The 24,664-nt window shown below is 55.2% G+C and overlaps 2 protein-coding genes and 1 long non-coding RNA gene across 27 annotated transcripts in view, besides 4 other annotated features; 1 reads left to right on the top strand and 2 right to left on the bottom strand.

Moving 5' to 3' along the window:
• Window positions 1–9,137: 9,137 nt before the first annotated feature.
• CAPN12 (calpain 12) lies at window positions 9,138–23,639 on the top strand. 19 transcript variants are annotated; one of them, XM_047438237.1, is made up of 22 exons: window positions 9,138–9,298; window positions 9,385–9,902; window positions 10,729–10,798; window positions 11,303–11,421; window positions 11,921–12,054; window positions 13,612–13,780; window positions 15,183–15,257; window positions 15,328–15,413; window positions 15,484–15,558; window positions 16,193–16,356; window positions 16,443–16,675; window positions 17,268–17,279; window positions 17,513–17,721; window positions 18,287–18,329; window positions 18,402–18,461; window positions 18,961–19,018; window positions 19,442–19,512; window positions 19,627–19,689; window positions 20,050–20,128; window positions 22,608–22,724; window positions 22,808–22,866; window positions 22,953–23,639. In XM_047438237.1, the coding sequence occupies exons 2-22, from the start codon at window positions 9,666–9,668 to the stop codon at window positions 22,977–22,979; spliced, it is 2,160 nt and encodes a 719-aa protein (XP_047294193.1). In that variant the 5' UTR covers window positions 9,138–9,298; window positions 9,385–9,665; the 3' UTR covers window positions 22,980–23,639. The 19 variants fall into 19 exon arrangements, 17 of the variants coding, with proteins under 17 accessions (XP_047294193.1, NP_653292.2, XP_047294194.1 ...); NM_144691.4 differs by lacking the exon at window positions 9,138–9,298 and having other exon boundaries at window positions 9,357–9,902; XM_047438238.1 differs by lacking the exon at window positions 9,138–9,298 and having other exon boundaries at window positions 9,357–9,902; window positions 10,698–10,798.
• On the bottom strand, window positions 13,977–17,604 carry LOC124904711 (uncharacterized). Its single transcript, XR_007067251.1, has 2 exons — window positions 16,649–17,604; window positions 13,977–16,487 (listed from the first exon to the last, which is right to left on the bottom strand). It is a non-coding gene; the product is annotated as an uncharacterized LOC124904711 (long non-coding RNA).
• Window positions 16,148–16,207: an enhancer, noted in NCBI's record as "active region_14593". NCBI's record gives its function as "activates an Ori minimal core promoter by ATAC-STARR-seq in GM12878 lymphoblastoid cells {active_cell/tissue: GM12878}" and the evidence as "EXISTENCE:reporter gene assay evidence [ECO:0000049][PMID:35858748]".
• Window positions 16,628–16,677: a silencer, noted in NCBI's record as "silent region_10582". NCBI's record gives its function as "represses an Ori minimal core promoter by ATAC-STARR-seq in GM12878 lymphoblastoid cells {active_cell/tissue: GM12878}" and the evidence as "EXISTENCE:reporter gene assay evidence [ECO:0000049][PMID:35858748]".
• Window positions 17,425–17,574: a silencer, noted in NCBI's record as "silent region_10581". NCBI's record gives its function as "represses an Ori minimal core promoter by ATAC-STARR-seq in GM12878 lymphoblastoid cells {active_cell/tissue: GM12878}" and the evidence as "EXISTENCE:reporter gene assay evidence [ECO:0000049][PMID:35858748]".
• Window positions 19,634–19,683: an enhancer, noted in NCBI's record as "active region_14592". NCBI's record gives its function as "activates an Ori minimal core promoter by ATAC-STARR-seq in GM12878 lymphoblastoid cells {active_cell/tissue: GM12878}" and the evidence as "EXISTENCE:reporter gene assay evidence [ECO:0000049][PMID:35858748]".
• The window catches only part of ACTN4 (actinin alpha 4), an 83,941-nt gene continuing 81,518 nt past the window's right edge, over window positions 22,242–24,664 (bottom strand). For 4 of the 7 annotated variants that reach the window (NM_001440296.1, NM_001440298.1, NM_001440300.1 and 1 more), the window contains one exon: window positions 23,300–24,557. In NM_001440296.1, coding sequence (NP_001427225.1) covers window positions 24,399–24,557 — 159 coding nt within the window. In that variant the 3' untranslated portion in view covers window positions 23,300–24,398. Of the gene's footprint in view, window positions 24,558–24,664 lie in introns of all 7 variants that reach the window. The other 3 variants (NM_004924.6, NM_001411143.1, NM_001322033.2) reach the window with 1 other exon arrangement.

The following is a 24,664-nucleotide window of genomic DNA, read 5'->3' as shown; positions in this document are numbered from 1 at the left end:
TTTGCCAGTCCTGGGTGGGGGCAAATCCTCGAGTTGATGTGTAGGGAAGGGAGGGGGCTTGAATAATCCATGAGGAGTAGTAGAATAGCAGATGGAACACTGAGAATTTATTTCTTTGAAGATAGATTTCCACAATGGAAAGGAAGTGAGAGGTTCTAAGAGGCAGGCTAGTGGCTTGTACTATAGCATAGCCTGCCTTTGCTGGTGTGTGGCGATTAGGCCTGGTGGAACTGCCATCAATAAATCAAGCGTGATCAGGGTGAGGAACAGGGAAGAAGGAAATGTGGGGAAATGGGATGAATGTCAGGTGGATCAGAGAGATGCCGTCATGGGGGTCAGGTGTGGTATCTGGAATAATGTGGGAGGCCGGATTGAAGTCCGGGCCAGGAACAATGGTCATTGTGGGACTTAACAAAGAGTGAGTACAGCTGAAGGAGCCAGGGAGCAGAAAGTATATGCGTCAGGTGTGAGGAAGAAAATAGATTTTGGAAATTATGAGAGCTGTAGAGAGTGAGTTGAGCATAGTTTGTGATTTTGAGGGCCTCTAAAAGTGTTAAAGCAGCGGCACGCGCTGCACGGAGACATGAGGGCTAGGCTAAAACAGTAAGGTCAAGTTGTTTGGGCAGAAAGGCTACAGGGTGCGGGCCTGGCTCTTGTGTAATAATTCTGACCGAACTAACCATGCCTAGGAAGGAAAGGAGTTGTTGTTTTGTAAGGGATCGAGGTTTGGGAGATTAATCGGACACAAGCAGCAGGGAGAGCACGTGTGTTTTTATGAGAATTATGCCAAGATAGGTAACAGATGAGGATGAAATTTGGGCTTGACTGAAGTAATGGGGTCTGTCTGTGAAGCCTTGAGGCAGTACAGCCCAGGTAATTTGCTGAGCCTGATTGGTGTCAGGGTCAGTCCAAGTGAAAGCAAAGAGAGGCTGGGATGACAGGTGCAAAGGAATAGGAAAGAAAGCATGTTTGAGGTCCAGAACAGAATAATGGATTGTGGAGGGAGGTACTGAGGATAGGAGAGTATATGGGTTTGGCACCACAGGGTGGATAGGCAAAACAATTTGGTTGATAAGGCGCAGATCCTGAATTAACCTGTAAGTCTTGTCTGGTTTTAGGACAGGTAAAATGGGGGAATTGTAAGGAGAGTTTATAGGCTTTAAAAGGCCATGCTGTAACAGGCGAGTGATAACAGGCTTTAATCCTTTCAAAGCATGCTGTGGGATGGGATATTGGCATTGAGCGGGGTAAGGGTGATTAGATTTTAATGAGATGGTAAGGGGTGCATGATTGGTCGCCAAGGAGGGAGTAGAGGTATCTTATACCTTTGGGTTAAGGTGGGGGGATACAAGAGGAGGATGCAAAGGAGGCTTTGGATTGGGAAGAAGGGCGGCAATGAGATGCAGCTGTAATCCAGGAATAGTCAGGGAAGCAGATAATTTGAAGTGTCTCGGCCTAATTAGGGAACTGGGCAGGTGGAGATAACTAAAAGGAGTGCATAAAAGAATATTGTCTAAGTTGGCACCAGAGTTGGGGAGTTTTAAGAGGTTTAGAAGCCTGGCTGTCAATACCCACTACAGTTATGGAGGCAAGGGAAACAGGCCTTTGAAAAGAAGGTAATGTGGAGTGGGTAGCCTCCGTATTGATTAAGAAGGGGACGGACTTACCTTCCACTGTGAGAGTTACTTAAAGCTTGGTGTCCGTGATGGTCTACGGGGCTTCCGAGGCAATCGGGCAGCATCAGTCTTCAGCTGCTAAGCCGAGAAGATCTGGGAAGGAGTCAGTCAGAGAGCCTTGGGCCAGAGTTCCAGGGGCTCTGGGAGTGGCTGCCAGGTGAGTTGGACAGTCCGATTTCCAGTGGGGTCCTGCACAGATGGGACACGGCTTAGGAGGAATCCTGGGCTGCGGGCATTCCTTGGCCTGGTGGCCAGATTTCTGGCACTTGTAGCAAGCTCCTGGGGGAGGCGGTTCTGGAGGAACGCCTGGCCACTGCGGTTTAGGCGTTTGGAGGTTCTTTTGTGCTGGAGATGTGGCTGAGGTTTGTCTCACAGTGGAGGCAAGGAATTGCAACTCAGAAATATGTTGCTACTTGGCTGCCTCTATTATTGTACACCTTGAAGGCGAGGTTAATTAAGTCCTGTTGTGGGGTTTGAGGGCCGGAATTTAATTTTTGGAGTTTTATTTAATGTCGGGAGCAGATTGGGTAATAAAATGTATATTGAGAATAAGACGGCCTTTTGACATTTTAGGGTCTAGGGCTGTAAAGTGTCTCAGGGTTGCTGCCGAACGAGCCATGAACTGGGCTGGATTTTTATATTTGATGAAAAAGAGCCTAAACACTATCTGATTTGGGATAAAGGAAAAGGAGCATTAACCTTGACTATGCCTTTAGCTCCAGCCACCTTTTTAAGAGTAAATTGCTGGGCAGGTGGGGAAGGGCTAGTCACGGAACGAAACTGTAAGGGGGACCGGGTGTGAGGAGGGGAGGCGATAAAAGGATTATAGGGTGGAGGAGCGGAGGCTGAGGAAGAATTGGGACCTAGCTCAGCCTAGCAAGGAGGGGAGAGGTCAGATAGGTCTGTAGAAAAGGAAGATTAGAAAGACTCAGTGACACTTGGGGTTGGGACTGAGGGGACAGGTGGGAGGGAAAGAAGGAAGATTTGGGACGAGTTGCATTGGGAACAGAGGCTAGGGAGAGCCTGATGTGTAAAAGAATGCCTGGATGTCAGGCACCTCACACCATTTGCCTATTTTATGATAAGAATTATTTAGATCTTGTAGGATGGAAAAATTGAAAGTGCTGTTTTCTGGCTATTTGGAACTACTGTCAAGTTTGTATGGGGGTCAAGCGGCGTTTCAGAAGAAAATTAGATGCTTAGATTTTACATCAGGTGAGAGTTGAAGAGGTTTTAAGATCTTAAGAACACAGGCTAAGGGAGAAGGAGGAATGGAAGGTGGAAGCTTGCCCATAGTGAAGGAGGCAAGCCCAGAGAAAAGAGAGTAGAGACATGGAGAAGGGGTGGGGGGGTTCTTGCCCTCCAGAAAAGCAGAGAAGGGGTTGGGGCACAGAGATAAGAGGTTGGGGTGCAGAAATAAGGGATGGGGCACAGAGATAAGAGGTCTGGGCATGGAAATAAGGGATCGGGGTGCAGAGATAAGAGGTCGGGGTTCCTGTCCCTCCTCCAGAAAAGCGGGACTTGCTACTAAGGGTGAAGGAGAAGGGGTTGAGGGGTTCTTGCCACTCAGAAAAGCAGAGAAGGGGTAGAGACACGGAGAGAAGGGGTTGGGGTACTTGCCCCTCCCCCAGAAAAGCGGGACTTGCCACTAACGGTGAAGGAGAAGGGGTTGAGGGGTTCTTCTTTTGTGGTGGAATGTCATCAGTTAAGGCAGGAACCGGCCATCTAGATGTGTATGTGCAAGTCACAAAAGATAATGATAGCTTAGCTTAAGCTCAAAGGCCTGACATTTACTACGATGAATCTAGATATGGCTCTCTTTGTATTTATACTTCTTGGAGTTTGTGTAAATTAACGTTTACACCAAGTTTGAAAAGTTTCCAGCCATTAATGCTTCAAAAATTTTTCTCCTTCCTCTCCTTTCCCCAGAGTCCTATTATACATATGTTTGTTTGCTTGATGTTATTCAGCTGGTCTCAGAGGCGCTTTTCTTTTTTCTTTTTTTTGAGATGGAGTCTCGCTCTGTTGCCCAGTCTGGAGTGCAGTGGCGCAATCTTGGCTCACTGCAAGCTCCGCCTCCTGGGTTCACACCATTCTCCTGCCTCAGTCTCCCCAGCAGCTGGGACTACAGGCACACGCCACCATGCCCAGCTAATTTTTGTATTTTTAGTAGAGATGGGGTTTCACTGTGTTAGCCAGGATTGTCTGGATCTCCTGACCTTGTGATCCGCCCACCTCAGCCTGCCAAAGTGCTGGGATTACAGGCGTGAGCCACCTCACCCAGCCTTTTTATTTTTGAGACAGAGTCTTGTTCTGTTGCCCAGGCTGGAGTGTAGTGGTGCGATCTCGGCTCACTGCAACCTCTGCCTCCTAAGTTCAAGTGATTCTCCTGTATCAGCCTCCCAAGTAGCTGGGACTACAGGTGCCTGCCACCATGCCCGGCTAATTTTTGTATTTTTAGTAGAAACGGGGTTTCACCATGTTAGCCAGGCTGGTCTCGAACTCCTGACCTCAGGTGATCTGCCCGCTTCGGCTTCCCAAAGTGCTGGGATTACAGACGTGAGCCACCGTGCTCGGCCTTTTATTTTTTAAATTGAGTCTTTGCAAATGTTTGATATATGCTTGAAAATCATGAGTGTATATAGATGTAATGAGTGTGCATATATATTAAATTCACTGTATTCTATTATTCAAAATATCACATTTTAAAAGACTTGATATTTGAAGAATAATGGTGGTTTCAAATTACCCATGACCACTACTGTGTTTCTGTGTATTTTTCCTTTTGTTTCTAATAGTGTAATAAATGATCACTTTTTTTTTTTTTTGAGATGGAGTCTCACACTGTCACCCAGGCTGGAGTGCAGTGTCTCACTGCAACCTCTGCCTCCCAGGTTCAAGTGATTCTCCTGCCTCAGCCTCGTGAGTAGCTGGGATTACAGGCACACACCACACCTGGCTTTTTGTATTTTTAGTGGAGCCAGGTTTCACCATGTTGGCCAGGCTAGTTTTGAACTCCTGACCTTGAGTAATCCGTCTGCCTGGGCCTCCCAAACTGCTGAGATTACAGGCGTGAGCCATCGCTCCCAGCCTTTTTTTTTTTTTTTTTAGACAGAGTCTTGTCCTGTCACCCAGGCTGGAGTGCACTGGCACAATCTGGGCTCACTGCAACCTCCACCTCCTGGGTTCAAGTGATTCTTGAGCCTTAGCCTCCCGAGTAGCTGAGATTACAGGCATGCACCACTATGCCCAGCTAATTTTTGTATTTTTAATAGAGACGGGGTTTCACCATGTCGGCCAGGCTGGTCTCAAACTGCCGACCTCAAGTGATCCACCTGCCTCAGCCTTCCAAAGTGCTGGGATTGCAGGCATGAGCCACTGCACCCATCCAATCACTTTTCATTCTGGATCATACACTTTATCAATAGAAAATAACTCCTTTTGTCCAAAGTAATGCTATCTGCTTTAAATCCGGTTTTCTCTAATATCAGATTTGCCCTGATTTTTGTGTATCTGCTTTTGACTGATAGCTATTTCTAATCCTTTTATTTTAAAACTTGGTGGTGTTATCTTTGGAAAGTGTTTTGAAAGCTAAACAGTTGAATTTTGTTTGTTGATGTTCCCAAGTACGTTTCACACATTTGCATAATGTTGTTATAACTGATATGCTTGGTTTTATTTAGGTCATTGTGTGATGCTTTTTGCTTTTATTTTCTATGATTCGCTGCATTTTCCTTTGCTTTTCGACCATTGCCAAATAGATTACATTTTCTTTTCCTTTCATTTTAAGCTACTTCAGTGGTTTGAAAGTTGTACATCTGGCCAGGTGCAGTGGGTCAGGCCTATAATCCTAGCACTTTGGGAAGCTGACATGGGAAGTTTGCTTGAGCTCAGGGATTCAAGACCAGCCCTGGCAACAAAGTGAGACTCCATTCCACCAAAAAGTCTAAAAATTTGCTGGGTATGGTGGCACAAGCCTGTGGTCCCAGCTACTCAGGAAGCTGAGGCAGGAGGATTGCTTGAGCCCGGGAGGTCAAGGCTGCAGTGAGCCAAGATTGTGCCACTGCACTCCAGCCTGGGCAACAGAGTCAGACCCTGTCTCAGAAACAAAACAAAACAATACAAAAAAAGAAACAGTAAGACATGGCGCGGTGGCTCCTGTCTGTAATCCCAGCACTTTTGGAGGCCAAGGCGGGTGGATCACCTGAAGTGAGGCTTTCAAGACCAGCCTGACCAATATGGTGAAACCCTGTCTCTACTAAAAATACAAAAATTAGCCAGCCGTGGTGGCACATGCCTGTAATTCTAGCTACTCGGGAGGCTGAGGCAGGAGAATCACTTGAACCTGGGAGGCGGAGGTTGTAGTGAGCCAAGATCACGCCACTGCACTCCAGCCTGGGTGACGAGGCGAGACTGTCCCAAAAAATAAACCAACAAACAAGTGAAAGAAACAGCAGCCCAGATCCAAGGAGACAGGTTGACTGTGGATGGCCGAGGCCGCCCACCTCGGCCTCCCAAAGTGCTGGGATTACAGGCGTGACCCACCACGCCCAGCCAGAAAGCTCGTTTTGTAACCCACTTTTGGTAGCCATGTACGTAGGCAGCTTGGACAATATCTGTGGGTCCACTTGGAGGGAAGGAGGCCAGAAGGCTTGAGGGACATCTGAGTGGCATGGAGGTGACAAGGCTCTGGGAGGGCAGCAGACACTCTTGAACGCCAAGGCATGGTCAATGCCTCGTGCAGTGAGCAGCGACTCTGTGTCAGGCACTTCTCTGAACTCATCCCACGTACGAACTCATTCGCTTCCCACAGCAACCCTCCGAGGTACGCCCTATCATCATCCGCATTGCAGAGATGAGGAAACTGAAGCACAGAGAAGTTAAGTGATGTGCCCAAAGACACACAGGTGTAGGTGGCAGAGCTGGGATTGGACCCCAGGTGCTGTGGCTCCTAATCCCGGCAGGCTGGAAGCACTCCCATATGACTCCCGTGGGGCTGGGGTGGGCTTGGCAATCCTACACGAAGAAAACTTTTTTTTTTTTTTTTTTGAGATGGAGTCTCACTCTCTCACCCAGGCTGGAGTGCAGTGGCGTGATCTTGGCTCACTGCAACCTCCGCCTCCCAGGTTCAAGCGATTCTCCTGCCTCACCCTCCTGAGTAGCTGGGATTACAGGTGTGTACCACCATGCCCAGCTAATTTTTTTTTTTTTTTTTTTTTTTGAGACAGAGTCTTGCTCTGTCAACCAGGCTGGAGTGCAGTGGCGGCTCACTGCAAGCTTCGCCTCCTGGGTCCACGTCATTCTCCTGCCTCAGCCTCCCGAGTAGCTGGGACTACAGGTGGCCGCCACCATGCCTGGCTAATTTTTTGTATTTTTTGTAGTAGAGATGGGGTTTCACCGTGTTAGCCAGGATGGTCTTGATCTCCTGACCTCGTGATCTGCCTGCTTTGGCCTCCCAAAGTGCTGCTGGGATTACAGGCTTGAGCCACCGTGCCCGGCCTTTTTTTTTTTTTTTTTGAGATGGAGTTTTGCTCTCTTGCCGAGGCTGGAGTGCAGTGGTGCAGTCTTGGCTCACTGAAACCTCCACCTCTCGGGTTCAAGCGATTCTCCTACCTCAGCCTCCTGAGTAGCTGGGATTACAGGTGCGTGCCACCACACCCAGCTAATTTTTTTGTATTTTTTAGTAGAGATGGGGTTTCACCATGTTGGCCAGGCTGGTCTGGAACTCCTGACCCGCCCGTCTCGGCCTCCCAAAGTGCTGGGATTACAGGCGTAGTAAACTACCGCGTCCAGCCTAATTTTTGTATTTTTAATAGAGATGGTGTTTCACCATGTTGGCCAGGCTGGTCTTGAACTCCTGGCCTCAAGTGTTCTGCCCACCTCAGCCTCCCAAAGTGCTGGGATTACGGGCATGAGCCACCATGCCCGGCCCTGTTTTGGGGGGTTTTTTGAGATGCAGTCTTGCCCTGTTGCCCAGGCTGGAGTGCAGTGGCACAATCTCGGCTCACTGCAACCTCCGCCTCCCAGATTCAAGCGGTTCTCCTGCCTCAGCCTTCTGAGTAGCTGGGATTACAGGTGCCCGCAACTATGTCCGGCTAATTTTTGTATTTTAGTAGAGACGGAGTTTCACTACATTGGCCTGGCTGGTCTCGAACTCCTGACCTCAGGTGATCTGCCTGCCTCGGCCTCCCAAAGTGCTGGGATTACAGGCATGAGCCACCACGCCCAGCCAGAAAGCCTGTTTTGTAACCCACTTTTGGTAGCCGTGTACGTGGGTGGCTTGGACAATATTTGTGGGTCCACTTGGAGGGAAGAAGGCCAAAAGGCTTGAGGGACATCTGAGTGGCGTGGAGGTGACAAGGCTCTGGGAGGGCAGCAGACACCCTCAACGAGGGTGGAAGGTCTGCTGGGACCAGCACTGCTGAGGCTCTGGCATCTCCGTACCTGTTTCTCCCATTTCCTCCAATGGCTCCAGAGTCCTTTGGGGGAAATACTGCTCCATCCAGACTCTGAGTGGCGTGGGCCAGGGCAGGGCATCATGGTCACCAGATGGCTCCCAGCACAGGAGAGGTACAGAGCCATCCCTCCAGGGTCAGCCTCCCTGGGCAAGCAGGCTGAGTCTACCTTGTCCGGGAGGGGAGGAGGCGCATCCTGAGGGCTTAGGGGGCGTGAGCGGAGGGGAGCTCAGGGTCCCTCGGTGGATGATGGAGGAGCCACATATGGGTTACAGGGACAGACAGAAAGATGGAGAGGAAGAGACAGGGAGGCAGACACAAGGTACACTGACAGGGTCTGAAGGAGGAGGGGCTGGGGGCCTGGACTCCTGGGTCTGACAGGTACAGAGAGGAACAGACACACGCTGAAAGAGACACAAAGAGAGAGGGGACAGGCATAGTGATTCACGCCTGTAATCCCAACACTTTGGGAGGCCAAGCGGGGAGGATCACTTGAGCCCAGGAGTTCGAGACCAGTCTGGGCAACAAAGTGAGATCCCCGCCCCATCTCTACAAAAAAAAAAAAAAAAAAAAAAAGAGGGTGGGGTGGGGAGAGGGGTGGAGTTGGGGAAATACAGAGACACAAATATTGCCAGAAACAAAAAACAAGAAAGGGCCAGGCACAGTAGCTCACATCTGTAATCCCAGCTCTCTGGGAGGCTGCTGAAGCAGGAGGATCACTTGAGGCCAGCAGTTCAAGACCAGCCTGGGGAACATATGGGACCGCCCCCCGCCACCCCTCTGTCTCTACTTTAAAAAAAATTTTTTTTAATTAACAAAACCTGACCAGGCACAGTGGCTCACGTCTGTAATCCCAGCACTTTGGGAGGCCAAGGTGGGCGGATTGCTTGAGGCCAGGAGTTCAAGACCAGCCTGGTCAACATGGTAAAATCCCTTCTCTAACAAAAAATACAAAAATTAGCTGGGCATGGTGACACGAGCCTGTAATCCCAGCTACTTGGGAGGCTGAGGCAGGAGAATCACTTGAACCTAGAAGGCGGAGGTTGCAGTGAGCTGAGATCGTGCCACTGCACTCCAGAAACTGATGGAGAAGAAACATGAAGGCGGGGAGAGAGAAACTGTCAGAGGGAGGGGGAGAGAGGCAGTCTGAGAGATAGAGACACCGAGGTAAACCCGCCTCCTTCCCCAGCCCCACAGGCATAAGTAGGCAGAAGCTCACCCCCACACTGACCTCCTTCTTGGTGCTCTGACAGCGGCAGCCGGTCCTCCCTCAGCTCTGCCCGCCTTCTCTCCTGCTGCTGGCCAAGCCCATTAAGCTGCTACCTTGGCCACAACTGAAGGCCCCACGCCCTGGGAAGAAAGCTACTGAAGAGGCGTCCCTGCTCCCCAGCACCCCAAACCATCAATTAATATTAACGAGGGAAGGCTCCTCATTGCCTAAAGACCCCACTGGGGCTCCAATGGAAGAGAGGCCCCGCCCCCGTGACTCAGGAGGTTAAAGGGCCTGGTGCCGGCTTGTGAGGCCAGTGTCCAGATGGCATCCAGCAGTGGGAGGGTCACCATCCAGCTCGTGGATGAGGAGGCTGGGGTCGGAGCCGGGCGCCTGCAGCTTTTTCGGGGCCAGAGCTATGAGGCAATTCGGGCAGCCTGCCTGGATTCGGGGATCCTGTTCCGCGACCCTTACTTCCCTGCTGGCCCTGATGCCCTTGGCTATGACCAGCTGGGGCCGGACTCGGAGAAGGCCAAAGGCGTGAAATGGATGAGGCCCCATGTAAAGTGTGGCTGGGGTCTGGGCTCTGGGGTCTGAGGGAGGAGGGGCTGGAGGCATGGACTCCTGGGTCTGAGGAAGGAAGGCTGGGGGCCTGGACTCCCTGGTCTGAGGGAGGAGGGGCTCGAGACCTGGACTCTTAGGTCTGAGGGAGGAGGGGCTGGGCCTGGACTCCTGGGTCTGAGGGAGGAAGGGCTGGGCCTGGACTCTTGGGTCTGAGGGAGGAGGGGCTGGGGACCTGGACTCCTGGGTCTGAGGGAGGAGGGGGCTTGGACCTGGACTTCTGGATCTGAGGGAGGAGAGGCCAAGGCCTGGACACCTGGGTCTGAGGGAAGAGGGGGCTGGGGACCTGGACTCCGGGGTCTGAGGGAGGAGGGGCTGGACCTGGACTCCTGGGTCTGAGGGAGGAGGGGCTGGGGACCTGGATTCTTGGGTCTGAGGGAGGAGGGGCTCGGGACCTGGACTCCTGGGTCTGAGGGAGGAGGGGCTGGGCCTGGACTCCTGGGTCTGAGGGAGGAGGGGCTCGGGACCTGGACTCCTGGGTCTGAGGGAGGAGGGGCTGGGCCTGGACTCCTGGGTCTGAGGGAGGAGGGGCTCGGGACATGGACTCCTGGGTCTGAGGGAGGAGGGGCTGGGCCTGGACTCCCGGGTCTGAGGGAGGAGGGGGCTACCATGGGACTGGCTCAGCACAACTTCTGGAGACCCAGGGAAGCCATGCTCCTGCCCACAGGCTTCCAGGCCTTTCATGGGCTTGGAGGCCCTCACTCCTCTGGATGAGACCTTTCCTCGCTTTCTCAGGCTGAGGCCTGGAATCCCCCACCACCCACAGGAGTTCTGTGCTGAGCCGAAGTTCATCTGTGAAGACATGAGCCGCACAGACGTGTGTCAGGGGAGCCTGGGTGAGACCCTGAACCCACCTGGAGTCCTCAGATCCAGCTAGTTTCAGCTGAGATCCTGACAGCTCCATCCCTTTGTCCACCCACTCCCGGCCCCTGGATCCCTCCTCAGTCTCTTCTCTCCCTAGGCCTCTCTCTCCCTCCTCCCTCCTTCCTTCCTTCCTTTTTTTTTTTTTTTTTTTTTTGAGATGGGGTCTCACTCTGTCACCCATTCTGGAATACAGTGGCACCATCATAGCTCACTGCAGCCTTAACCTCCTGGACTCAAGCAATCTTCCTGCCTCAGCCTCCCAAGTAGCTGGGACTACAGGTGCATGCCACCATGCCCAGCTAATTTTTAAATTTTCTTGTAGTGGAGTCTTGCCATGTTGGCCAGGCTGGTCTTGAACTCCTAGGCTCACGTGATCTTTCTGCCTTGGCCTCCCAAAGTGCTGGGATTAGAGGCATGAGCCACCGCACCAGGCCTCCCTCCTTCCATCCTCACCTAATCCTGGCCTCTCCTCCCAGGTAACTGCTGGTTCCTTGCAGCTGCCGCCTCCCTTACTCTGTATCCCCGGCTCCTGCGCCGGGTGGTCCCTCCTGGACAGGATTTCCAGCATGGCTACGCAGGCGTCTTCCACTTCCAGGTACAGCTCAGTTCCTCTGCCCATGCCTCCGTTTCCCCCATGGTGACTTGGTGATATGGATTTTTCTTTTTTTTTTTTTTTGAGATGGAATCTCACTCTGTCATCCAGGCTGGAGTGCAGTGGCACAATCTCGGCTCACTGCAACCTTCGCCCCGCCCCCAGGTTCAAGCAATTCTCTGCCTCAGCCTCCTGAGTAGCTGGGATTACAGGCACCCGCCATCATGCCCAGCTAATTTTTTCTTATTTTTAGTAGAGATGGTATTTCACCATCTTAGCCAGGCTGGTCTCGAATTCCTGACCTCGTGATCCATCCGCCTCGGCCTCCCAAAGTGCTGGGATTACAGATGTGAGCCACCGCACCCGGCCAGCCATATGGATTTCATAGTTAACGTTGACTTGGGGCTGTAATTCCTGACTCTGGGACTGGCACAGCAGAGGCAGGGCCCAGGCAGGGTTGGAGGTTGGAAGCCGAGTCCGGCCCTGCATCTTCTCCCACCAGCTCTGGCAGTTTGGCCGCTGGATGGACGTCGTGGTGGATGACAGGCTGCCCGTGCGTGAGGGGAAGCTGATGTTCGTGCGCTCGGAACAGCGGAATGAGTTCTGGGCCCCACTCCTGGAGAAGGCCTACGCCAAGTGAGGACCCCAGTTCCAACCAGCTGCAGCCCTAAGTCCCCACAGCAGGCATCAAGCCACAGGGGGACCCAGAGTCCCCCAAGCTCTGCAATCCTCCAAACACCCCACCAAGAATCCCAAACCAAGTGACAACCGCCAGAACCCTCATATCACAACATCACCTGAGCAACTTCATGTTTTTTTTTTTTTTCTTTTTTTTTGAGACGGAGTCTCACTCACTCTGTCGCCCAGGCTGGAGTGCAGTAGCGCGATCTTGGCTCACTGCAACCTCTGCCTCCCAGGTTCCAGCGATTCTCCTGTCTCAGCCTCCCGACTAGCTGGGATTACAGGAGCGCACCACCATGCCTGGCTAATTTTTATATTTTTAGTAGAGATGGGGTTTCACCATGTTGGTCAGGCTGGTCTCCAACTCCTGATCTCAGGTGATCCACCTTCCTTGGCCTCCCAAAGTACTGGGATTACAGGTGTGAGCCACTGTGCTCAGCTGTACCTTCAAATCTTAAACCCCTCTCTCCATCAATATTTCACACAAAACATTCCTGGAGACCCCCAGTCACTCATAATTCTTAAGGATCCTGAAATCTCATATATCAGGCCCTGGATTCACCAAATCTGGGATTTATCCCCTCGGGTGAGCTGTATATCTTAGATTGTCTCTCCTGGTCCATTGAGAAATCTAAAGCACCCCCAAAATATTGGGGGTCACCCTGGGACCCTCAAATCTTTGCCTTTTCCCCATTCTGAGGCTCTGAAATTCCTGACAAGCCCCCATAGGGATGATCCCCCAAAGCGGACATCTACCAGAGGTTCAAGGTTTCAGACAGCACCAGGACTCTCAGAATTCTAACACAGCTCTCCCATGCCCCCCACCAAACCGAAGTCCTGGTCACCCCAAGGACCACAGGCCCAATCTCCAAGGGCTTCTGTATGTGCCACAGTTCCCCCCGTCAAGAGTCTGAATTTTTTTTTTTTTTTTGAGATGGAGTTTCACTCTTGTTGCCCAGGCTACAGTGCAATGGCGTGATCTTGGCTCACTGCAACCTTCGCCTCCCGAGTTCAAGCGATTCTCCTGCCTCAGCCTCCCGAGTAGCTGGGATTACAGGCATGTGCCACCACGCCCAGCTAATTTTTGTATTTTTAGTAGAGACGGGGTTTCACCGTATTGGCCAGGCTGGTCTCAAACTCCTGACCTCAGGTGATCCACTTGCCTCGGCTTCCCAAAGCGCTGGGATTACAGGCGTGAGCCACCATGCCTGGCCAAGAGTCTGAAATTGTTTTAGCTGGGTGTGGTGGTGTGCACCTGTGGGCCCAGCTCCTCGGGAGGCTGAGGTGGGAGGAGGATCGCTTGAACCCGGGAGTTTGAGGCTACAGTGAGATGAGATCACGCCACTGCACTCCGGCCTGGGCCACAGGGTGACCCTGGAAAAAGTCTCAAAACTTCAGGAATTTCCCCTGGGGATTCCACACCCTGAGACACAGGCCCCTGCAGATCCCAGGGCAGGGGTGCCTGAGACGCTTGTACTTGCCTCAACCCTCACCCCAGATCTGCCCCCACAGGCTCCACGGCTCCTATGAGGTGATGCGGGGCGGCCACATGAATGAGGCTTTTGTGGATTTCACAGGCGGCGTGGGCGAGGTGCTCTATCTGAGACAAAACAGCATGGGGCTGTTCTCTGCCCTGCGCCATGCCCTGGCCAAGGAGTCCCTCGTGGGCGCCACTGCCCTGGTAAGAGACCTGGACTCGCATGCGGAACCCCCACCAGGACCAGAGCACAGTCAGGGGTGTGGTGGGGTGGGCGGAGTGCTTCCTCTGTTCTCTGCTTCCGTTACTGGCTTAGGCTCGCTCATAAATCTAACTAGTCAAAAATAAATTCATTTGCTCTCATGAATCAGGGGCTTCAGGCACAGCTGGATCCAGATGCTGAGGGTGTTGCAACTATGTTTATTTCTCATTCTGTGTTAGTGTCACTCTCAGCCAGGCTCTCCCCTCATGGGCATAAAAGGATCCCCCATAGCTGCAGGTATCTCCTACCACCCTAGGGTTTATTTAAAAAAAAAAAAAAAAAGTGCCTCTTTCTGAGAATTTCAGTAAAAGTCCCAGGATTGATTCTCGTGGGCTTAGCTTGGGTCATGTGTTCATCTGTGACCCCATGACACACTCATTCATTCACTGAGTTGGTCTAACTCCTTCACTCATTCATTTACTTAAATCCTCTGAGTTACTGCTTCTCTTTTTCTTTTGTGTCTGTTTCTCTCTTCTGTATCTTTCTTTGTCTCTGTCTCTGTCTCTCTACTCTTTCCATCTTTTTTTTTTTTTTTTTTTTTTTTGAGACGGAATCTTGCTCTGTCACCCAGGCTGGAGTGCAGTGGCACGACCTTGGCTCACTGTAACCTCTGTCACCCAAGTTCAAGCAATTCTCCTGCTTTGCCTCCCGAGTAGCTGGGACTACAGGCGCCCGCCACCATGCCCAGCTAGTTTTTTGTATTTTTAGTAGAGATGGGGTTTCACTGTGTTAGCCAGGATGGTCTCAATCTCCTGACCTTGTGATCTGCCCGCCTCGGCCTCCCAAAGTGCTGGGATTACAGGTGTGAGCCACCACAACAGGCCTCTTTCCATCTATTTTGTTTGTTTTTGTTTTTGGAGGCAGGGTCTCATCTCACTCTGTCACCCAGGCCAGAGTGCAGTAGTGTCATCATAGCTCACTATAGCCTTGACCTCTGGGCTCAAGGGATCCTCCTGCCTCAGCCTCCAGAGTAGCTGGGACCACTGGTGTGCACCACCACGCCTGTTGAATTTTTAAAATTTTTGTAGACTTGGGGTCTTGCTATGTTGCCCAGGCTGGTCTTGGACTCCTGGCCTCAAGTAGTCCTTCCACCTCGACCTCCCTAAGTGCTGGGATTACAGGCGTGAGCCCGTACCTCCATCTCCTTTTGTCTCGTTTCCATCTCCCTTCCTCTCCTTTTCTCTTTCGCCTTCAGTCACTAACCCTGACATGGTCTCTGAGCTGCGTGCCATTCAGTTCAGTGCTCTGGTTGGCTCCTGCCTTGGTGGCAGGAGGTTGGGGGCAGGGAGGAGCAGCTGCCCTCCTGTCCCCTACCTTGGCCTCACCATCCCATCCCCTGCCCAGAGTGATCGGGGTGAGTACCGCACAGAAGAGGGCCTGGTAAAGGGACACGCGTATTCCATCACGGGCACACACAAGGTAAGTGTCCCCCATGGGTGGGGTGGCAGGCCATGTCCAGGCATCACCCCCACTGACGATGCTGCCCCAGGTGTTCCTGGGCTTCACCAAGGTGCGGCTGCTGCGGCTGCGGAACCCATGGGGCTGCGTGGAGTGGACGGGGGCCTGGAGCGACAGGTGGGATGGGTCTGGGGTGGGTGTGGGGCTGGACCCCACCTGCCCGCCCCTCACACCACAGTCTCTCCAGCTGCCCACGCTGGGACACACTCCCCACCGAGTGCCGCGATGCCCTGCTGGTGAAAAAGGAGGATGGCGAGTTCTGGTCAGTTCGTCAGGGTCCCAGCTCTGCCTCTGGGAGGGTCTCTGCCAAGGGGTTCAGGGAGGGCGAGCCCCAGTTGAAGGATGGGTCCTAATAGGGAGAAACTGTGTACATCGGTGGTAATTTTGGGGCCAGGTTCTATTTTGGGAAATCAAGGAAGAATTGGTAGTAATATTAGAGAACCTCTGATTGGAGTGGGTTTAAAAAAGTAGTAATATGAGGGGAATTTGAAGGCCTAGTTATCTGTGGAGGATTGAAAGGGATGGGCAGTATTTAGGGCAATGGAGGAAGGCTTGGTGATATTTGGGGCATTTCTTGAGATTTGGCAATGTTGAGGGGCTGAAGGGTACTTGTTGGTAATTTAGAGTCTGAGGGTCTTGCTATTTGGGGGTTGGTGGCAATTTAACGATATTTGGGGGCAGCTTGTGAATCTTGGCGATTTGTGGGGCATGTCTGAGGACTTGGAGGAATTTGGCAGAGCTAGAGGCCCAGGCATTTGGGGTTCATTTCTGGAGCCTGAAGGGTATTTGACAATATTTAAGAAATGTGAGGGGCTTTGGGATCTGGGAGTCATTTCCGGGATCTTGGGACCCCCTCGAGGTGGGGCCGGGCAGGGTCTGACTGGGCCACCGTGCAGGATGGAGCTGCGGGACTTCCTCCTCCATTTCGACACCGTGCAGATCTGCTCGCTGAGCCCGGAGGTGCTGGGCCCCAGCCCGGAGGGGGGCGGCTGGCACGTCCACACCTTCCAAGGCCGCTGGGTGCGTGGCTTCAACTCCGGCGGGAGCCAGCCTAATGCTGGTGAGGCCTGAGGGGCCCTGAGAGGCTTCCTGGGGTGGGGGGCGCTGTGGCCGGCTAGGAAACCCCCTTTTTTCCTCCTCCCTTAGAAACCTTCTGGACCAATCCTCAGTTCCGTTTAACGCTGCTGGAGCCTGATGAGGAGGATGACGAGGATGAGGAAGGGCCCTGGGGGGGCTGGGGGGCTGCAGGGGCACGGGGCCCAGCGCGGGGGGGCCGCACGCCCAAGTGCACGGTCCTTCTGTCCCTCATCCAGCGCAACCGGCGGCGCCTGAGAGCCAAGGGCCTCACTTACCTCACCGTTGGCTTCCACGTGTTCCAGGTGAGGTCCTGGGCAAAGCTGAGGCTGGAGGGAACCCGGAGGGTGGAGGGGCGGGGCCGGGCCAAGGAGCGGGGGAGGCATGGAGGGGCGGGGCCAGTGGGAAGAGGGGAGGTGTGGAGGGCGGGGCCAAGGGGGAAGAGGGGGAGTGGTGGAGGGGTGGGACTGAAGAGGATCGGGGAGGAGGGGAGGAGTGGAGGAGCAGGGCCAAGAGGGGGCGGCGCTGGGAGGGGAGTAGGGGGCTAGTAGGGCTGGGGGGCCAGGTCTCAGAGGGGAGAGGGAGCTAAGGGAATGAGAGGGAGGGGCTCAGGGACAGACAGAGGGACGAGGTTAGGGACAGAGAGAGGCTGGGGGTTAGAAGGGCCAGAGGGGACCAAGGATACAGAGAAGGCGCTGGGAGCGCAGATGGGGAAGGAAGAGTTGGGGAGGGGTCGGCGAGGGCCTGGGTCGGGGACTGCGGGGCAAAGGTTCAATAAGGGTCTAATAGGACGAAGAAGGAGGGAGAGAGCACAGAGGTGAGAAGGGGCAGGGAGGAGACCCTGAGCGGCGGCCACCTCTCCCCTGCCCCGACGCCCCTTGCTCTTGCTTCTTTCAGATTCCAGAGGAGGTGAGTCTGGGATGGGGTCAACCGGCCCTGGGGCTTGGTCAACCTGCCCTGGGGCTTGGTCAACCTGCCCTGGGGCTTGGTCAAACTGCCCTGGGGGTGGGGGGGCAGAGCCGGGTCCGGGGGCAGGGGAGGCGTGGACAGGGGTTAGGCAGGGTGGACGGGGCGCGCTGGAGGGTGCGGGGATGAAGGGCCGGGGGTGAGCCTGGTCCGTGGTCATGCCGCCCCGTCCCCAGCTGCTGGGCCTCTGGGATTCCCCGCGCAGCCATGCGCTCCTGCCCCGGCTGCTGCGCGCCGACCGCTCGCCCCTCAGCGCCCGCCGCGACGTGACCCGCCGCTGCTGCCTGCGTCCAGGCCACTACCTGGTGGTGCCGAGCACCGCCCACGCCGGCGACGAGGCTGACTTCACTCTGCGTGTCTTCTCCGAGCGCCGCCACACGGCCGTGTGAGCCCCGGGCACCCAAATCCGACCCCATCCCTGCCTAGACAGGCCCCGAGACCCCCGAGACCCCCGAGACCCCCGAGACCCCCGAGACCCCCGAGACCTGACCTGCCCCGCCCCCAGAACCCCTGCCCCGCCCCGCCCCGCCCCCAGAACCCCCGCCCCGCCCCGCCCCCAGAACCCCCGCCCCGCCCCGCCCCGCCCCCAGAACCCCCGCCCCGCCCCGCCCCGCCCCGCCCCGCCCGCAGAACCACCGCCCCGCCCCGCCCCGCCCCCAGAACCCCCGCCCCGCCCCCAGAACCCCCGCCCCGCCCCGCCCCCAGAACCCCCGCCCCGCCCCGCCCCCAGAACCCCCGCCCCGCCCCCAGAACCCCCGCCCCGCCCCCAGAACCCCCGCCCCGCCCCCAGAACCCCCGCCCCGCCCCCAGAACCCCCGCCCCGCGAGGATGAGCCCAGGGCTCCACGGTCCCTACCTAGACCCCACGCGATTCCTCACCTGAGACCCCGTCCCACACAGCCCCAGCTGGGGCAAACAGCCCCCTCCCCACTTCCCATCTGTAATTTGCAGGGAGATCGACGACGTGATCAGCGCAGACCTGCAGTCTCTCCAGGTGGGGACTGTTCCTGGAGGGGCGGCATGGGGCGGGGATCTTGGCCAGCGCTAAACTTCCGCCATGCGGCAGGGCCCCTACCTGCCCCTGGAGCTGGGGTTGGAGCAGCTGTTTCAGGAGCTGGCTGGAGAGGTGAGGAGGGGGATTGGACTGAGGGGGTATCCCGCTGCGGCCTCCCCTTGGGGACCCCCCTTCCCCCACCCCAGCATCTCAGGTGTCTCATTTTGCTTGCTTTTTCCTCCCTCCGGGCTTAAATCTCCTGACCTTTTCTTGAAATGCTCACAGCTCCTCCCTGCCTCAGGGCCTTGGGCTCAGTCCATACCCTCTCCCAGGACCACCCTCTCCCTCCTGACACCTCCAGCCAGGCTCAGGTCTCATCTAAGGTGCCCAGCCCTGGAAGCTCTCCCTGACCACCCCCCTGCCCCAGGCCGGTCTGCTGGCCCCCCACCAGCAACCACAGCCCAGTGCTTCCCCCGTCACAGCCCTGGCCCTGTGGGGACAGGTCTGTCTCCCCCACTCCTGGAGCTAGGGCTCTGAGGCTCTGTCAGCCCCTGCCGTGTCCCTAGCACAGGGCTTGGCCCAGAGCAGCTGGATGAGTAAATGGCCTCACAAGCCCTCTTTCCTGGACTAGGAGGAAGAACTCAATGCCTCTCAGCTCCAGGCCTTACTAAGCATTGCCCTGGAGCCTGGTGAGTTGGCTGGGATAGGGGCAGGAGGAGGGGTCTTAGCCAGGGGTCCTGCAACCAGAGCCGGTGCCACCCTATGTCTATGAACCCACCGCGCTGCTGGGAGTTGGGCTCAGGAAGCCAGGGCTCAGCCTGGCAGCATCTCCCTGCAGGGGATCTTGTGTGGGCCCCGTGACCTGGGCCACGGCTGCTCGCAAGCTCCCCTTCCGCTGAAAGGCAAGGCTGCCTTGAGCACAGACTGGGCACCCCCTGCCTGGATTTGAATCCCAGCTCTGCTAGGCGCAGCAGTCACTGGCTCCCTGTGCCTCGGCTTCTATAATATGGGACTGACAACATCACCTGCTTAAGGGAGTCACATCCACCCAGCCCTTAAAGTGGTGGCCAGAATGCAGGAAGTGCTGTGGTTTGACTTTGTTTTTCCTGTAGCCAGGGCCCATACCTCCACCCCCAGAGAGATCGGGCTCAGGACCTGTGAGCAGCTGCTGCAGTGTTTCGGGGTACATGGGGGGCAGTGCCTGGGTGAGGGAGGGAGTGGGGAAGGGGACGTTGGGGTCTCTCCTCCCCTTCTGGAGAGATTGACCTTAACCAGATGCCCCCGACCCCCAACACAGCATGGGCAAAGCCTGGCCTTACACCACTTCCAGCAGCTCTGGGGCTACCTCCTGGAGTGGCAGGTGAGGTGGGAGACTGGGCCTCTTCCCAGAAAGAGAGAAACCTTTACTAACAGAGACATAGGCACCCTGTGGGCTATCAGGTCCCCAGGGAACGAGGGGGTACTGGACTAGGCTGACTTGGAGAGATCTGGCTGGGATATCCCTGCCCCCACCCAGCCTCAGCTTGTCCTCTGGGTCATTGCTCTTATTCCCATTTTACAGATTGGGAAACAGAAGTCCCAAGTGGCTAGGCTGCTTGCTGGGGGTCCACACCAGAAGAAAGGGAGTTGGGATGGGCACCAGGCTGTCTTGCCTGGGAGGCCCCATTGGCAGCCCTCTTCAGGGCATGGAGGGCAGCCCTGACTCATCCTTCCTGCCCAGGCCATATTTAACAAGTTCGATGAGGACACCTCTGGAACCATGAACTCCTACGAGCTGAGGCTGGCACTGAATGCAGCAGGTGTGGACAGGGTCCTGGGGTGGTCGTGGGGACAGGACCTGTTCTCTCCCATCCCATTGTCTCCAAGTCCCCCTGCTCAGCTGTGGCCGTCTGCACTGTGGCCATCCACAGGCCCACACCTTAGCTTGTTGCCAGTCCCTGGCAGGGGTTGGGTGACCCTGAAAGAGGCCAAATAAGGAAGGAGAAGGGCAAGGGGCGTGTGTGGGGTGGGGAGGACATGAAAGGGGGATGTGCCTGGTAGGGGTTCTGGGGCAGGGAGAGGCCCCTCCAGGAAGGGGAAGATTAGGAGCTGGTATCTGAGAGGGTCTGGCCCCCAGGGCAGCATGGTAGAATGTTCTGGATTCTGGTGCACCGGGGTTGGAATCCTCACTCTACTGACTCCAGGAGGGGCCCTGGGCACTTGACTTCATCTCTTTGAGCCTCCATTTTCCTCTCTAAAATGGCCAGGGCCTGGTGTGGTGGCTCACACCTATGGTCCCAGCTACTCAGGAGGCTGAGGCTTGAGGATGGCTTGAGCCCGGGAGGCTGAGGCTGCAGTGAGCCGTGATTGTGCCTGGGTGACAGAGCAAGAGCCTGCCTCTCAAAAAAAAAAAAAAAAAGCTAGTACACAGGGTGGTGAGGAGTCGTCCATGCACTGCAGGGCATAGCACTTAGTGATTGGAGAATGCAGCTTTCATTACCAAAAGCCCCAAAGAGAGCCGGCCAATGGCCTCTGCTACTAGGCTGAGTTCCTCCTGATGAGCTGGAACAAGCCCAGCACAACATCCTAACCAAGAAAGAGAGCCAGAGAGAAAGGCTTTCCATGGGCTCCAAGGCAGATGAGACAGTACAGCACTGTGACCCTCATGTGGAGGGGATTTGGAGAGTGGGCTGGGGTCAGAACTTGGAGTTCCCAGATCCCCAACCCCACTCTGGGGCCTGTCTGCCACCACACAGCAGATGGAGCCACAGGGAGATGGGGGCTGGGGTGACTGTGATGGAGTCGGAGAGCCAGAGGGAGAGGGTTTGGGTGTGGCTGTGAGTGTGAGACCCAGAGAAGGTGGTCAAGTGTCCAAAAGAGCCAGCCGGGCGTGGTGGCTCACGCCTGTAATGCCAGCACTTTGGGAGGCTAAGGCAGGCAGATTGCCAGATTGCTTGAGCCTAGGAGTTCAAGACCAGCCTGGGCAACATGGCGGAACCCCCGTCTCTACTAAAACTACAAAAATTAGCCAGGCGTGGTGGTGCGTGCCTGTAATCCCAGCTACTTGGGAGGCTGAGACAGGAGAATCTCTTGAACCCGGGAGGTGGAGGTTGCAGTGAGCCAAGATCATGCCATTGTACTCCAGCCTGGGCAACAGAGCGAGACTCCGTCTCAAAAAAGAAAAAAGAAAAAGCCCAAGTCAAAGGGGGAGAAATGGGGTCAGAGACAGCCAAGGATTGGGAGACGTGGGGCAGAGAGGGAGAGGCTGGGCCGGAGATAGACAGGAGTGGAGGTGAGGGAGCAAGGACTCACAGCAGGTGGCAGGTGGCAGGCTTGTGTTCACGCATCTGGCACCAGTGAGTGCCTGTTACATGCCAGGAGTTATTCCAGGAAGAAGGAAACTGATAAAGTGCCCTTGAGAATTTCTCAAACGGGAACTCCTGCAGTGGCAGCTGAGGGGCTCCAGCGCCTTCTCGGGTCCTTCCACCCCATCTGGCTGGGTTTCCCCATAGCCCTGGGCATGGCAGCCTCCACCCCTATGCCCGAGGGCAGATGAATGCCAGAGGGAGTGACCTGGGGCAGGTCACACGGGCAGGAAGAGGCTGCAGGCCACCTGCCCTCCTGTTAAAACAGCACCTGGCACTGGGCACAGCATGAAATGGCACTTACTTGGTAGATATTTGTGAAGAGAATGAACACACAGAATGGGGGTGAAGATGGGCTTTGGAAGCAGCAGAAGCCCATGAAACGGTACTTGGAACTGGGTTTGTCTGGCCGTGTGGGAGACAAAGGTCATCAGGCACAACCTTGCATCTCAGAAGGGGTCAAGAACCCATTGTTTTGGGTTTTTAAAAGCCTCCAATGAGACTCCACAGCAGACATGGTTTCTCAGCTTTAGAAATCGCCTCTGAGGTAGACTGTAAGGAAACTGACTCCATATGGGATTGACTATATTTTTTGCTGCACAGAAATATCCTCCAGTGCCCACTGGCAAGGAGAAAGCCCCACAGGATTTAAGGAGTAACAGTACCCACACATCGAGTCACGTGTCAGACGCTGTCCTGAGCGTTCTGTCTTCACACACCCTATGGGGTCGGGGCTGTCTTAGTCCGTTTGATGGATGAGGAAACAGGCCCAGAGGATTGAAGGGATCAGCCTGTACTCACCCTGCCGGGATGGGGCAGAGTTGGGGTGTGACACCCTGTGGCATTCATGTCCTCCCTGAGGAGGTGGGGTGGGGATGCAATGCCAAGGTGGGTTCCCTGTGGGCCACTGGGCTCAGAAGCAGCCTCCCCCTAGGCTTCCACCTGAACAACCAGCTGACCCAGACCCTCACCAGCCGCTACCGGGATAGCCGTCTGCGTGTGGACTTCGAGCGGTTCGTGTCCTGTGTGGCCCACCTCACCTGCATCTTCTGTGAGTACCACCCCGGCATGGTGGGGCATGGGGGGAAGGGGTACGGGGACTGGTGGGCACTCACCCTGCCCCTCTCTGCACAGGCCACTGCAGCCAGCACCTGGATGGGGGTGAGGGGGTCATCTGCCTGACCCACAGACAGGTGAGCCAGGTGGGAGGGACAGGGTGGCTCAGGCTCTGTCCTGCGAGCTCCCTGCCTCAAGCCACTGTCTTCCTTCTCTTCCTTAGTGGATGGAGGTGGCCACCTTCTCCTAGGATCTCCGGATGGGCGCACCTGCTGCTCAGGGCAGGGTTGCTGAGCAAGACCACCTCCCTAGGCCTTGCCTGGCATGGGTGCCACTCTCTCTGGCATCCACCTGTCTGGGGCTAGTCTCTGGCCCTCACTGCTCACGGCCGGGTGACCACTCTGGCCTGCGTACTCCTCACTCAGAAACAAGAACAGCGACAGCCCTTCTCGAGCAGATGACACGAGCTAGTCCACGTTGACAGCTTAAGACAGTGCTAGCTCTGCCCTGGCTCTCCTAGAAGGTGGAGGACAGACACAGGAGAAATAAAAAAAGATGATGCTGCAGGAATCCTTCTTAAAAATATTACATGTTTTATTATCCTGTCCCCAGAGGGTGGTTTATCCAGAAACCAAGAAAAAAAATCAATCAGAATAAACTCAAAAAAAAAAGGTAGGGGGAGCAAAACCATCAACCACCAGGCAGCCAGGCCATCAGCCCACCTCCACCTCTGGAGGGTCCCCAGAGACCCACGCCCGACGCAGACCCGGAGGAGCATCAGCAAGGGGCCCGGGCAGAGAATCGGCTATGTCTTCATTATGAGAGCAGGAGAGACGGCAGAGATATGTTGCTAGGTGAATATATATTTATATAATAAATCCGTAAGTTAATAAAGTAAATAGTAATTCTCTGAAAGTTTTTAATTCTTTCTTTTTTATAGTTTTTTTGTTTTTGTGATTTTTTTTTTTTTTGGTTTTTGTTGTTTTGTGTTTTTTTTCCTTTTTTTTTTTTGGTTCTTAGAAAATCTGAGACACGTGAGGCCAGACAAAGCAAGGCCGGGGCTGGTGGGATGGGGTGCGGTTCAGGGGGGCCCGGTCTGCCAACTCAGCTCCTCTGCTGCAAAAGCGGGGTGCTTGTTGGGGCCATCTCCTGGCAATGGCAAGTGAGTCTGGAGCAGAGAGGGGAGAGGGGCTGGGTGGGTCCCCAGCCGTCAGGTGGTGGTGGCGCCCTCTGCTGGCCCCTCGCATGGCCCAGGCAGTTCCTGGACAAGGCACATGGGGCTTTGGCCTGGATTGGGGAGGCCTTGAAGGGACCTCAGAGCAAAGGAAGAGACCTGGGTGTGGTGAGGCATCCCAGGGCATGGAAGGGACCGGTTGTGCTGTGGGAATCCACTGGCCCCTCCTTGGTTAAAAAAGCACAACACATCATACATATTTACCAGACCAGAAGCGCTGGCCCCAAGTCTCCCCAACCTGGTCGGGGGAACCTCCTGGCCAACCCACAAAGAGAGAGAGGAGAGAGCCTGCCCCAGCCCCTCCCTGCCCACCCACCCACCCCGGAGGACTGCAGAGAGTGCTTTGCATAGATACAGAGTGGAGGAATGGGACTGTGGGGCTGCCCAGGCCCCTCCTGGAGGCCGTCGGGGGTGTTGGGTCAGGTCTCTGGGGCCTCACAGGTCGCTCTCGCCATACAAGGCCGTGGAGAAGGACTTGTAGTCGAGGGCACCGGGCACGGCGTCAGGGCCCTGGTATGGCGCCATGCGGGCGATGCAGTACTCGGCCTGGTCGGGGGGCAGCTCTCTCCGCAGCTCCTCAGCTGTGATGAAGTTCTGGGGCAGGCAGGATGGGACTCTGAGCCATCCCCACCCACACACTGGCCCCCTCAGCCCCTCCCACTGCAGGGACCCCTCTCGCCAGCCCCCATGCACCTCGTAGG

This window comes from Homo sapiens, chromosome 19 (assembly GCF_000001405.40).
Source record: "Homo sapiens chromosome 19, GRCh38.p14 Primary Assembly".
In the NCBI taxonomy this organism is placed as follows: Eukaryota; Metazoa; Chordata; class Mammalia; order Primates; family Hominidae; genus Homo; species Homo sapiens.
The sequence above is the reverse complement of the archived record's forward strand: the minus strand, read 5'-3'. Positions and strand labels throughout refer to the sequence as shown.